The sequence below is a fragment of the Homo sapiens genome, chromosome 15, assembly GCF_000001405.40.
Source record: "Homo sapiens chromosome 15, GRCh38.p14 Primary Assembly".
Lineage (NCBI taxonomy): Eukaryota > Metazoa > Chordata > Mammalia > Primates > Hominidae > Homo > Homo sapiens.
In genome coordinates, this window is record NC_000015.10 from 78,671,165 (window position 1) to 78,684,203 (window position 13,039).

At 50.8% G+C, this 13,039-nt stretch overlaps 2 annotated features.

The window, feature by feature from the left end:
• Window positions 331-1,222: an enhancer, noted in NCBI's record as "OCT4-NANOG-H3K4me1 hESC enhancer chr15:78963837-78964728 (GRCh37/hg19 assembly coordinates)". NCBI's record gives its function as "activates a minimal SCP1, AML or CMV promoter by ChIP-STARR-seq in naive H9 embryonic stem cells {active_cell/tissue: H9 hESC(naive)}" and the evidence as "EXISTENCE:reporter gene assay evidence [ECO:0000049][PMID:30033119]".
• Window positions 2,115-3,005: an enhancer, noted in NCBI's record as "H3K4me1 hESC enhancer chr15:78965621-78966511 (GRCh37/hg19 assembly coordinates)". NCBI's record gives its function as "activates a minimal SCP1, AML or CMV promoter by ChIP-STARR-seq in primed H9 embryonic stem cells {active_cell/tissue: H9 hESC(primed)}" and the evidence as "EXISTENCE:reporter gene assay evidence [ECO:0000049][PMID:30033119]".

The window sequence follows — 13,039 nt, forward strand, 5'->3', positions numbered from 1 at the left end:
GTGAGCCACTGCGCCCGGCCACTTACAGACTTTTCTGATGAGATTGTGGTAAGAATAATAAACATGATTTTTTAAAAATACTATATGATAAAATGCATCAACATCTGAAAGATCTGCATAACTCAGAACACCAATATTTTCCAATTGACCAATGCATAATGTTACAAAATCATGCATAGGTAAAAAATCCATCTGAAGTGCAAGATAGATCAATGGATTTTAGAGTCACAAAGTACTGAAATTTCATCGATATGGTTTCCGAATCCACATTGCAATTAACCTTTAAGAAGTACCACTTGTTGAGTTTTGATGTAGTATTTAAGAAAATTATCCGCAATTATCTGAAAAGACTGTTAAAATATTCCGCCCTTTTCCCACACGGGCATTGACTGTATCTGAGCTTGCTTCTCTGGGCTCCGTAAAATAGGACTAAATGCTGAGGACCAGCAGGTGCGGGGGGACAGTCTGCTCTCTGGAGTCAGCAGATAAAATGCAAGGTGTCTGGGGCACCCAGAGCTCTAATACTTAATACTCATCAGCTTCCACTGCAGCTGACATAAAGACGCACTTAGCAAGGGGTGTGTGCTGCTCCAGGGAGGAAATGAGGGTAATTGAAATTAACTTGGCTCCTGCTGTTTTTTCCTCCTTTCCTAATCACCGGGAAATCTGCTGTTAGTGGAGCAGGAGAGCCTGAGGGCCAATGCTCCAGGGAGTCAGGGGCTCAATTAAGCTTCAGTAAATTGGATTTCTGGCCGTGAGGCCATGGGGCTGGGGTTGGCATTGAGGCATGAGCTGCCAGACGGTATTAGGCCAAGGACTGACCAGATGGGCCCAGTAGCTAATTCAATCTGGCTTCCCAGAAACAGGACTTGGAAGGCCAGAGCTATGGGCCTGGACAGCTGTGACTCCAGCTGGGAGGGCAAGATCTTATGTGGCACTGGGCCCACCCTGTGGCTCGTCTCAGGGAGTCCTGTGCCCGGCATCTGGCCTCAGCCAGCTGTGCACTAACAATCCTGATAACCAGTGATAAGTGGCAGTTTAGTGCTAGGGAAAAAGCCCAGCCTGGGGATTGGGGGCCAGGGCTGTGGGCTCCACACAGGTATCAGCTTGCTCTAGGAGTGAATTTAGGTAAGTCTCATTCTCTAGGACTAACATTCTTGCTTCTATGGGCTGCCATAGTCTTAAAAAAAAAAAAAGAAAAAAAGAGTCAGAAAACTCAGAATGGGAGAGAGGCTGAAACTAAGAGATTGTAAGGTACATGGATGTGCTTTGGTCTAGGAACAGGCCAAGGCGGATATTCAGGCCTGCATGACTCAGCTAGTTTGGTGCACAAGTGCACACCTCCACTTGTTATATAACCTGTTTGTGTAAGTTCATACTTGGCTTTAAGTTACTATGGTCTGTAAAAGGTATAACTGTCCTGCTGATGCTGTGCATGGGGCTTGGCTCTTGGGTGTCTCGGCTCGGCTCAACATGGCTTGGCATGGCAGGTGCGCGGGTGCCCAGAGAAAGAGAGAGAGAGTCAAAGCTCTCCATCTTGCAGATGGACAGGAGGGAGTCAGGACCCAACTTGGCTTGCTTGTGCCCAGAGAGAGAAAGAGTTAAGCTGCTGACCCTGAAGGCAAAGGAGAGCTGGCTGCACAACTGTGCGTGGGGGCAGCCAGCTCAAGCAGCCGAGACAGGGTGAACAGTGTGTGAGTAAGTTGTTAATGAGAAAGCTAATTTAAATAAGCTGTGTAAGAGAGCTGCTGCTGAATAAACCATAGTCACCTGCCTATGGCCCCCCGAGTGTTCTTTCTGCCCATCCACGCACTCCCCTTGGACTTCAGCATGGGCTGGACCTGGACCCCGGGATCTGACAGAGATCATAGTAGATAAAGATAGAATGAGATAGAGACAGAGAGAGGCAGAGAGTGAGTCAGGTACACAAGAGAGGCAGAAAAAGATACAAACAACAGGGAGAGGGAGAGACAGCTAGACAGAGCAAGACAAAGATACAGTTGGCTTAGAGAGCAGAGAAAAAAAGACAGGAAGAGAGAGACTGAAGCCAAAGTTTCACTACAAAATGAATGTTCTAAGTGGGGGCGGCAGGGCTTTTTTTTCTTTTCCTTAATAGTTCCTAACCTGGTCTTAAAAACCCAGTTCCCAAATGGTCAGAGAAGGCCCCATTCTCATTCTTGGAAAAGAGGAGAAGGAGAGTTTTTCTCTGTGCTTCTCCCGGTTGCTTTCTCCAACCAGGGCACGGAATTCCAAATTTGGAGCAGCCCTAGCAGCCCGAGCTGTCTGGTCAGTTGGCCTCAGCCGAGTCTGCACCAAAAATCTTCCCAAACCTCACACAGAGTCCTCACACCAGCCCCTTTCTGGGCCTTAGACCACCCCAGCTGTCAGAGCTGCAATGGAAAGGTCAGGGCCAGGCCAGCACAGCATCCCTGTGTCCTGATTGGCATGAATCCTCCATCGTTTCCTGCCCAGCCCTTCTTCCCAGAAGTCACACCGTGGGAGTTCCTGTGTCCTGCTGTGTCCCACTTTCTGACACCCAAAACTCACCGTGTGTCATCCCTTCAGGCCTTTTCTCTCTTGGACTGGGCCTGCCAGAGACTGAACTCACATCAGGGGTCTCTGGCAGACTGGCCGGCCACTCCCATGCCTGCCAGGGACTTGTTTCCCATTTTCTGTCCCACCCCAACCCATGCTGCAGCCCCAGGTGTCCCTCATCTGCACCAAGCCAGGCCCATCTCTTGGCTATCCAGTAACTACTGGGAGTCAGGGACACAGAGTTTCAGATCCTCAGCTTCCCTACTGGGGCATGGTGAGCCAGGGAGAGAATGGACAGACTTGAGCAGCGGTTCTTGGCTTGGACCACACATTGGCATCATCTGGGAGCTGTCAAAGCCACCCATGTGCCAGGATCCCACCCCTGAGAGACTCTGTTGTAGTTGGCCTGGGGAGTGGCCTGGACATTGGGATTTTGAAAAGCTCCCAGGGTATCCTGATATGCATCCAGGGTTAAGAACCAGTGTCATCAACCCAGGCCTGCGCCAGAAAGAGTCCACCCCAGACCTCACCTGCCAGAGACTCAGAGACAGCCAGGCCCCGGCCCAGGGTAACACAGCTGGAAGGGGCAGAGTGGTGCTGGCCAGAGTTCCTCCATCATCTTCCTCAGCTCCTCACCCCCTTCAACTCCAGGGACAAGAGCTCTGTCTCTTACCTTGGTCTGTCCACTCTGAACTCTGGGATCCCAGGAGTTGAGTTCTGTATTCACCTGTTACCAACAACATGTTCCTCTCTGACCCTCATCTCCTCGACTGTAGTTTGGAGAGAATAGTAACCACTTCACAGGGTTGCAGTGACAATTAAATGAGTTTAATATGTTAAAGGCTTATCATGGTGCCTGGCACTTAGTAAGCACTAAAATGTTATCTATTAGTATTGCGGTTACTGTTATTGTTCCCACAAAGAAAGCATGAACAAACAACAGAGTCTGGCTGGCAATTTGGGGGAGTGGGGCAATCCAATGGTGTATGTTATGAGTTGAACAGTGGCCTCCCGAAAAGACATGTCCATTTCCTAACCCGCATACCCTGTGAATGTGGTGTTATTGGGGAAAAGGGTCTTTGTAGGTATAATCAAGGATTTCAAGATGAGATCGTCTGAGCGGGGCCTAAATCCAGTGTGTCCTTATAGGAGACAGAAAAGGAAAGGCACAAAAAAGACCATGGGAAGACAGAGGCAGAGGCTGGAGTGATGCAGCCATGAGTTAAAGAATGTCTGGGTCCCCCAGGAGCTGGAAGAGGCAAGGAGGGACTCTGCCATAGCACATTCCGAGGGAACGTGGGCCTGCCAGCACCTTGATGTCAGACCTCTGGCCTCTAGAACTGTGAGCAAAGTTCTGGGATTTTAAGCCAACCATTTTGCTTTAATTTGTTACAACAGCTGCAGGAAAGCTACCTTCAGAGCTAAATGTTGCTGGCTAGAAACATCCCTGGACCAGGACAGTTGGCCCATTAGTCATACCTTAGGGAGGTGGGATTGGGGGTAGCGGCTCAGCACTGCCCTGTGTTGGTGCTACAGGGGGGCTCAGGCCTGAGGACCTTCTGGGGGCCAGGCACTGGAGCTGCCCCCTTCACTGTGGAGGCCTCAACAAGTTCCTTCCCCTCTGTAGGCCTCACCCACCCCCCTACTTGGCGTTTTGCATGTCTCTGTGAGTCTTGGGGAGAAAAGACCCCCATGTGATCAACTCCTCTGAGGTCAGGCCTGGCAAGGCCAGGAGCACCTCTGGTGTGAAGTAGATGCTCACCCACCCCTCCCTGCGCTGCCCAGGACTTCAGGGCCCAGACCTCCCAAGCTAATGGCTAATGGCTAATGCAACCAGAAAATGAGCCCTCTCATTCTACGGCCGGCTCTCCCCAAATGGACTTGAGGAGAATGAGATCTAATGAAGTCTTTTCTATGGGATAGTTCCAAAGCTTCCCTGTGGTCAGCCGAGGGGCACCATGAGGAAGCATGTGTCTGGGCAACAGGCCCCTGTGTGTTGCCAGGCAAGCCTAAGGGGGTCCATGGAGGGCTTTGTGTCCAGGGGCTCTCAGTGGTGACACCAGCAGGGCCAGCAGTTTCTGAGGGGCTACCCACCCACACCTCTTCATTCCCACTCTAACTATGAGGTGTGTGTATGGGTGGGGCTGGGGGAGGCAGGAGCAGCTGCTTGAGGGACACCAAGGACAACTTGGTGAACACTGACACTAAAAGGAAAGCCAAGTTCATTGAGTCCAGTGGTCTCATCATACAGCTGGGAATACCGAGGCCCGGAGAGGGGAGGGACTAAGGTTATACCGTGATCAGCAGCTAAGCTGATATGGGAGCCCAGACTCTCTGTCTGCCCATGAGAAGTGTGTGTTTACAAAGCACATGCTTGGGATAAGGCTTCCCTATGTGTGGGTTGAAGGGTTGGGGTGAGCACGTTCATGCAACAGTCCGTGGCTGACAGCGCTAGGTGCCCATTTGGATTGCGCCCTATGGGGAAGATGTCCAACTTGATGGCTTCCTTGAGCACTCCATGCAAGGGGGAAAGTCAAACACAAGAGGCGGGGCCCAGCACAGTGCCCAGGTCCTTATGGAGGAGGTGGAGGAAGAGAAACAGGAGGGGTGGGCGAGGAGAAGTTTGCGGCTGAGCAGGGTCAGAAAAGGACCCTGGAGCACTGTTCCTCAGTGGATGGGCAAGCTCCGTTCTCTTGTGGGGACTTTTATTTCTTCCCCTTGGGAAACCATTCTGGGCTCCTGATGTGCCTTAGACCACAGATCTAACACACACTTGCAAAAGCACTCCAAGGAGGGCGAGCACCAACTCCCTCCCACCCCAATGGGCGCTGCCAGCCCGGCACTGTGGGGCTCCAAGCTCAGCACCAGGTGAAGAACCAGTGTCTGCCGGACGACGGACTCACTGTGTGCAGAACACGGTGCTAGGCCCTGCGGGAGTTCAGTGAGAGGATTAAGGAAGAAATAATTTACCATCTCAATGCATTGAGATTCCAACCCTGTGGGAAACTGCCTGATCTGAAAACCTTTACAGAAAGCAGGTAAATGTATGCAGATCTTCACGGCCTAAGTAATTTTCTAATAAGGCATGAAAATACAGCGAGTGGTTTGGGTGAGGAAGGAGGAGGCAGGCTTGAAGCAGGGCTTTCAGGGAGGGGAGGGGCAATGCCTGACATTAAAGACAGGGAGGGTTGTGGCTGGGAAGTACAGTGGTGAGCGCAAGAGGCCCAGGCCCTGGAGCCCCCAGCCTGCTTCACAGTCTGTGATCTCCCTTGGAGCTGTGGAAGGGTTTTTTGGTCTCCACAGTGAGCCGGCTTTTTAGAAATGGGCACATTGTAATTGTGTATATTTATGGGTACAATTTGATGTGTCAATACAGATATGCTCCATAATGATCAACTCAGGGAAGTAGGACAACCATCCCACATGCATGTATCATTTCTTATATGCAATGGAGTACTATTCAGCCATAAAAAGAATAAAATCCTGTCATTTGGAACAACACGGGTGAACCTGGAGGATACCATGTTAAGTGAAGTAAGCCAGGCACAGACAGGCAAATAGCACTTGATCTCACTCACATGTGGAATCTAAAAAAAAAGTGAATTCAGGGCCTGGCCCAGTGGCCTGTAATCCCAGCACTTTGGGAGGCCAAAGTGGGCAGATCACCTGAGGTCAGGAGTTCAAGACCAGCCTGGTTAACATGGGTAAACCCCATCTCTATGAAAAATACAAAAATTAGCTGGATTTGGTGGCAGGCACCTGTAATCCCAGCTACTCTGGAGACTAAGGCAGGAGAATCACTTGAACCAGGAGGTAGAGATTGCAGTGAGCCGAGATTGTGCCATTGCACTCCAGCCTGGGCCACACACTCCATCTCAAAAAAAAAAAAAAAAAAAAAAAATTTTTGTTTAAATGTGCACTCAGGAACCACCTGAGCGAGCATTCAGTGGTGCCCAGTGGAGTGCAGCTTGATCTTTGCTACTTCCCCTCATTCCTAGATGTTTTTGCAGGAACAACTCCTTTTATCATTTGGTTCTGTCTTGTTTCTCAGTATGGTGTCCTTGAGTGGAGTCTCAGTCACTCTCTCCACTGTGTGTAGCTCCCCTCTTAGACTGGGAATGCTCTCAGCAGAGGTCTGCTGAGAGAGGGACAGAAGAGAGAAGGGAAGAAGCAAAACAAACTCCCAGTGTTGAGACCTTTCCTCAATACAGGTCTTATGTATTTCAGTCAAAGATATTTCTCTTTTAATTGTGGGGAAATACATGAAACAAAACTTACCGCTTCAACCGTTTTCAACTGTATGATTCGGCGGCATTAAGTACACTCACAATGCTGTGTAACTGTCATCACTAATCATTGCAGAACCTTTTCATCACTCCAGAAGGAACCCCGTACCCAGGAAGCTGTCACTTCCAATCCTGCCTCTTCCCCTAGGCACTGGTTGCCACTAATCTGCTTTCTGTCTCTGGATTTGCCTCTGTGTCAAGGAGATGTTTTGTTCTTTGTGTTCCACTTAAAATGCAAATAACCATAGGAGAACCCATAATCTACACTTTCTTTTCTTTTCTTTTCTTTTTTTTTTTTTTTTTTTTTTTGAGATGGAGTCTCGCTTGGTCGCCCAGGCTGGAGTGCAGTGGTGCAGTCTCGGCTCACTGCAAGCTCCATCTCCCAAGTTCACACCATTTTCCTGCCTCAGCCTCCCGAGTAGCTGGGACTACAGGTGCCCGCCACCATGCCTGGCTCATTTTTTTTGTATTTTTAGTAGAGACGGGGTTTCACTGTGTTAGCCAGAATGGTCTCGATCTCCTGATCTTGTGGTCCACCCCCCTCAACCTCCCAAAGTGCTGGGATTACAGGCATGAGCCACCGCACCCGGCCCATAATCTACACTTTCAATTCCATTAATTTCAACAATACCCACCCTCCACTCACCTCCATAGTTTGGAAATTTTCATTTTAGAGACAGGGTCTTGCTCTGTCACCCAGGCTGGAGTGCATTGGCTCAATCACAGCTCACTGCAGCCTTGAAGTCCTGGGCTCAAACAATCCTCCTGCCTCAGCCTCCCAAGTAGCTGGGACTACAGATGCACATCATCATGTCTGGCTATTTTTTTATTTTTTTATAGAGACAGGGTCTCAAATTGCTGCCCAGGCTGGTCTCAAGCTCCTGGTCTCAAGCAATCCTCCCACCTCAGCCTCTGAAAGTGTTTGGATTACAGGCATGAGACAATAAGCCCAGCTAGGAATGATGTAATCCCTACATGTTATGGGGAAAACACTAGCCTGGAGGTTCAGAGACCGGGGTTCTAGCTCATTCTGTCCAAAGTTATGTGATCTCTTATGGATGAGGATCCCTGATTCTCTTTAGGCCTTAACAATCCCCATCCTGAGGCATGGGAGGTGGACTTGGCTAATAAATTCCAGGGCCTTCTGCACCTTTGACCTTCCAGTGCCATAGTAGAAGTCCATTGACCCGGCAGAGCACAGGGTGGGTGGGACCTGGGTGACTGGGTGCCAGGAGGAAGCCAGGCCTGGGGATATGGGGAGCACTGGTGAGGGCTCAGACTTGGCCTGCCTCACCCACTGCTGGGCTCGGGGCCAGCCCTGTCCACATTAGCTTCCTGGCTGGTCCAAAGCCCTAGGCAGAGTCTGCAGGTGGGATGTGCCAGTCCCTGTCATAATGCCTGCTCTGGGGTGAGCCTCCTGGAGGCCTCAAGCAGTGGCCTTCCTGGGCAGGCTGAGGCAGGACAGGGCAGGGCAGGCCTGGGGGACCGGGAAGGGGCAGAGGTCAGGGCAGGGTGGCTGCAGAATGGGATGCAATGTCCTCAACCCAGAGGCTCCCTTGGCCCTACTTGCCCCAGCTCATGAGAGCCTGGATTCTGAGATCTGCCAGGACTGGGGCTCAGCACTGCCTATGGAAACAGGTGTGGCAGGGAAAAAAATTATAACCAAATATTTGTAGTTACATCTTCTCCCTTCTGGAAAGGGAGGGTCCCTTGTTTGTGGGCCCTTGGCCTCCTGGACATTATTGTGTGGTGAAGGGAGAAAGGTTGAGATGCAGAGTTAGAGAAACTAAGAGGGTCCACTTGAGGAAAGATGGGGGAACCCCAGGAGGGGAGGAGGGGACACCCTGGGGAAGTGGGGGGCTTTCCAGGGAGGCCAAGAAGGTGGGGCAGGATGCAGAAAGTCAGAGCACAGTTCTGAGTTTTGGAGACAGCAAGAGAAAAGAGGGAGGGATTTGGATAACTAAAGGACTGGGCTTGTGGAGAGAAACGTTTAGAGATTTGGGAGATAGTGTATCATGTGATGTATTATGAAAACCCCTTCTTCATATCCCTAGAAAACCACCACTGATGATTTATGGTACAATTCAGTGCTTTTGCAGAGAGATTGGTGTCTCTCTTTTTTTTTTAATAACGCATTGGCTTGGCTCCATTTAAATTACAGGCAGACATCTTCAGCAGATTTTATTCATGTTCCATTAGCTAAATATTGGGTTTCCTATTTTCTGGGTTGCCTGAAACCACTTTGTAGGCCCTTCCACAGTGGGAGGCACCTCAGAAATCACCTCTTTGGCCTGCAGCTCCATCTTCCCAAGCTCTGGGGTTTCTTGAATGAGTGGCCTCGTTCAGAAGATAATATAGCATCCCTAATCCGAAAATCCGAAATTGGAAATGGTTCAAAATCCAAAACTGTTTGAGTGCCGACATGATGCTCGAAGGCCAGGTTCAAAGGAAATGCTCATTGGAGCATTTTGGATTTCAGATTTTCAAATTCCAAAATCTGAAAAAAAAAATCTAAAATCCAAAATACTTCTCTAATTGTATCCTGGGATTGCAGTTGGGTCCTGACCTGCCAGCTAAGGCAGTGAGCAGTCAATAGCGGCTCTCCATGCACCCCTTCCGCGCCTCACCCTCCCACGGGCTCCCTGCTGGTTGGACTAGTGCATCAGCCCCCAGCCTCCCCTTGCACCTGCTGGAAAGCGGGCATGATGCTCCTGCCCTGCCTTCCTGGATCCTGGAACACTGTGACAATTGCAGGATTCCAGCCAGGGAAAATGCTACACGGTAGAAGTACTTGGTACACAAAGTTCCTCCAAAGAGGAGGTTCCAGCAATGGCACAGCAGCCCTGGGAGAGTCTGTGACTGTGTCCACGCCTCCAGCTCTGGCCCCTGCCTCTTGGGGAGCTGCTCAGCATCGCCCTCAGAGTGAGAGGAAGTGGGCCTCAAGCTCAGGCCTGCTTCTCCTTCCCCATGGCCTTCCTGTGGCCTCTGACCCATCTGTGAAATGAGGGCAGTAGTGTCTTCTTCAGTGCGCTGCTGGGAGGTCAGAGAGAATGGATGCAAAGTGCCGAACACAAACCCCCAGCACTGGGAGGTGCTCCCTCTACGGCACCTTGAATCCCAGTCCAGAATGCAGCGCACAAGACATTTGATCTTAAATTTCTTGATCTTAAATGCAACACTTGAGTTTCTGAAGTCAAGGTCCCCTTCCTGGGCAGTCAGGTATGCCTTAGCGCTCTGGTCCTATGTGAAGTCTGGGGGCTTGGTATGCAGGGAGATACCTGTCCTCTGTCATCCTTCCACCTTGGTTGCCACTGAGACATCCATTTTTCTCTCCATCGTTTCTGTTCTGTGGCAGGCCCAGGATCACCCCAGAGACACCATTGTTGCCGGGGGTGAAAGGAAATGCTATGCAAGAGAGTCAGGGGTCCCCCTGCCTCCTGCCTCCATCCCTCCCTCTGCTGTACCATATCCTCCCCCACAGCAGTGAAGTTTAGAGCTGCCGCTGGCTGGAATGAGGGGGAAGGCAGGAAGGAGAAAACCTGTTAATATTTCAAAGCTTGCTTCCATCCCAGTGACCTATATGTCTGAATATAAATGTTTCTTTGAGCCATCCTTCTGCCCCACCACAGCAGTGAGGCCACAGGAGAGAGGGAAGACATTTAGGAAGAGATGAGTTCATAGAGGGGAGGGAGAGATGAGGGAGCTCTCAGAGGCCATCTGGATAGTGTACTTCCCATTCCCCCATGGGGACACGTGTATGGCCCCCTTCCTAATTACTTTGCGTGCTTTAAAGCCAATTAGCGGAGAGCGCTAATGGGATTTCACAGAGGGGCTCCCTGGCCATATGGCTCAGGGCCTCCCTGGGTGCACCGGGGATGGCATTTGGGAAGCTCAGGGAGTGACAGATGGGTTTGGTGACATTCAGGAAATTATGCAGACCTGCTCAGTCCTGGGCCTGGGGCCCTGATTCATGGCAGGCCTTGGGAAGTCAGGGGCCAGGGAGGGAGGACAAATGTGAATTAATGATCACAGGAGTGTGTTCCACCAGCCCCCTTTGGAACTCAAGGGCCCTTTAAATAAAGCAGAGTGTAGATGGGTTTCCTGAGGCTTCTCCCACCCCAGGGCTGCCTTGTGCAGGGAGGTGGAGGAGGAACTTCCCCGGACTCCATAAAGAATATGCAGAGTGGAACCTGCTCTGTCGCTTGCTTGGGCAAATCACTTCTCCTTTCTAAGCCTCAGGTTCCTGTCTGTGAAACAGGATAAACCACCTCTCCTAACAGTGTGGATTCATTGAGATCATGGGTGGAAATTCACCTGGCCATGCTTGATACAATATGAATGCTGAATATAGCTAGCAGGCCACTGTCCTCACTGCCCTGGGCCAAATGAAAAGCATGCTGAAATAGAGACCCCAGCGTGGGGGCAGTGGCAGGAAGGATAAAACAGTCACCCACCCCTGAACCCACACCCCCAGGGAGGTGCCTGCAGGAGGAGGCATTGAAACAGGAACCTGGAGAATGAGAAAGACTTCAGAAGGAAGAGAAAGGGAGAAGGCAGTCCCCGTGTCCAGAGGGGCATAAGCAAAGGCTCTGAGACAGGAAAGCATCCCCTGGTTCTGAGGACGAGGCTCCTTATGCATTGGAAATGAGAATAGAATGACAAGTGGTGGGTCTTGGGTGTTCCATGAAAACATAGGCTTTATTGTGTAGGCCATGGGGAGCCCTGAAAATTTTTGAGGAGGTAAATAGCAGGATATGACCTATGTGTTGGAAGCATAGATTGGAGGGGGCAAGACTGGAGCCAGAAAGGCCAATTCAGGCGAGAGGGGATGGGAAGGGCTGGGAGTCAAGAGAGGCCATGGGTGTTGTGATGATGGACTCAACAGGTCTCGGTAAGTAATGGCCATGCAGGTGGGGGTGGGGGGTCTAAGACGATGCCCAGCAGCTTGATAGGAATTCTTAGGGGCTGAAAGGGCTGTACAGAGATTGGAGTCAGGATTAGGGGAGCAGCAGGCAAGAGCGGGGTGATGAGTTTGTGTTTGGATGTGGTGAATTGGAGGAGGCCGTCCAGGCCATTACCAGCAGCTGCGTGGGACTAAATCCCAGGGATCCGTAAGAGTTACTTGCTTGGGGTTCCCTATCCTCCCCAAGATCGCGGCACTGTTGAGTGGGCAACCCACACCTGGGTGTTGGCCGTGGGGGTTCTGGGCAGCCCCAGCTGAATGCTGTGTGACCTGGCTTCATTGCGTCCCTCACCTCCCATGCTGTGTGCTCCAGTGGGCCCAGGACAGGGGTTCTCTGAAGTGTGGGGCTCAGCTGTTCCACCTCCTCTGCCACACCCCGGGGGTCAGTGTCCCTCTTTGTGGGTGCCATGGCTCTGCTCCCCCTAGACTTTGTTTTTTTTTGAGACAGAGTCTCACTCTGTCGCCCAGACTGGAGTTCAGTGGTGGGATCTCAGCTCTCTGCAACCTCCGCCTTCCAGGTTCAAGGAATTCCCGTGCCTCTACCTCCCAAGTGGCTGGAATTGCAGGCACGCGCCACCACACCCAGCTAAGTTGTATTTTTAGTAGAGACAGGGTTTCGCCATGTTGGTCAGACTGATCTCAAACTCCTGGCCTCAAGTGATCTGCCTGCCTCGGCCTCCCAAAGTGCTAGGATTATAGGCATGAGTCACCGCACCTGGCCAAGTCCCCCAGATTTTGTAGCTTCACCTTGTCAGGATCTCCATGTCAGCTGCAGAGAACGTCCCTCAGGATGGCTACCTGGGGATTGCCTCCCCACACACTCTAATTAAAAAAATAAATAAAAATAAAAGCCCCGGCGTGGTGGCTCACACCTGTAATCCCAGCACTTTAGGAGGCCAAGGCAGATAGATCACCTGAAGTCAGCAGTTTGAGGCCAGCCTGGTCAACATGGTGAAACCCCATCTCTACTAAAAATACAAAAAATTAGCCAGGCGTTGTGGCAGGCGCCTGTAATCCAGCTACTCGAGAGGCTGAGGCAGGAGAACAGTTTGAACCTGGAAGGCAGAGGTTGCAGTGAGCTGAGATTGAGCCATTGCACTCCAACCTGGGTGACAAGAGTGAAACTCCATCTCAAAAAAAAAAAAAAAAAAAAAAAAAGATAAATTTAATCTCCCTTATTGGACTCAATGATTAAAAATGGAATTGGAGTTTTTACTCTCATGCTCCCTGGCTTGAGTGAGCTGTGCAGAGGCAG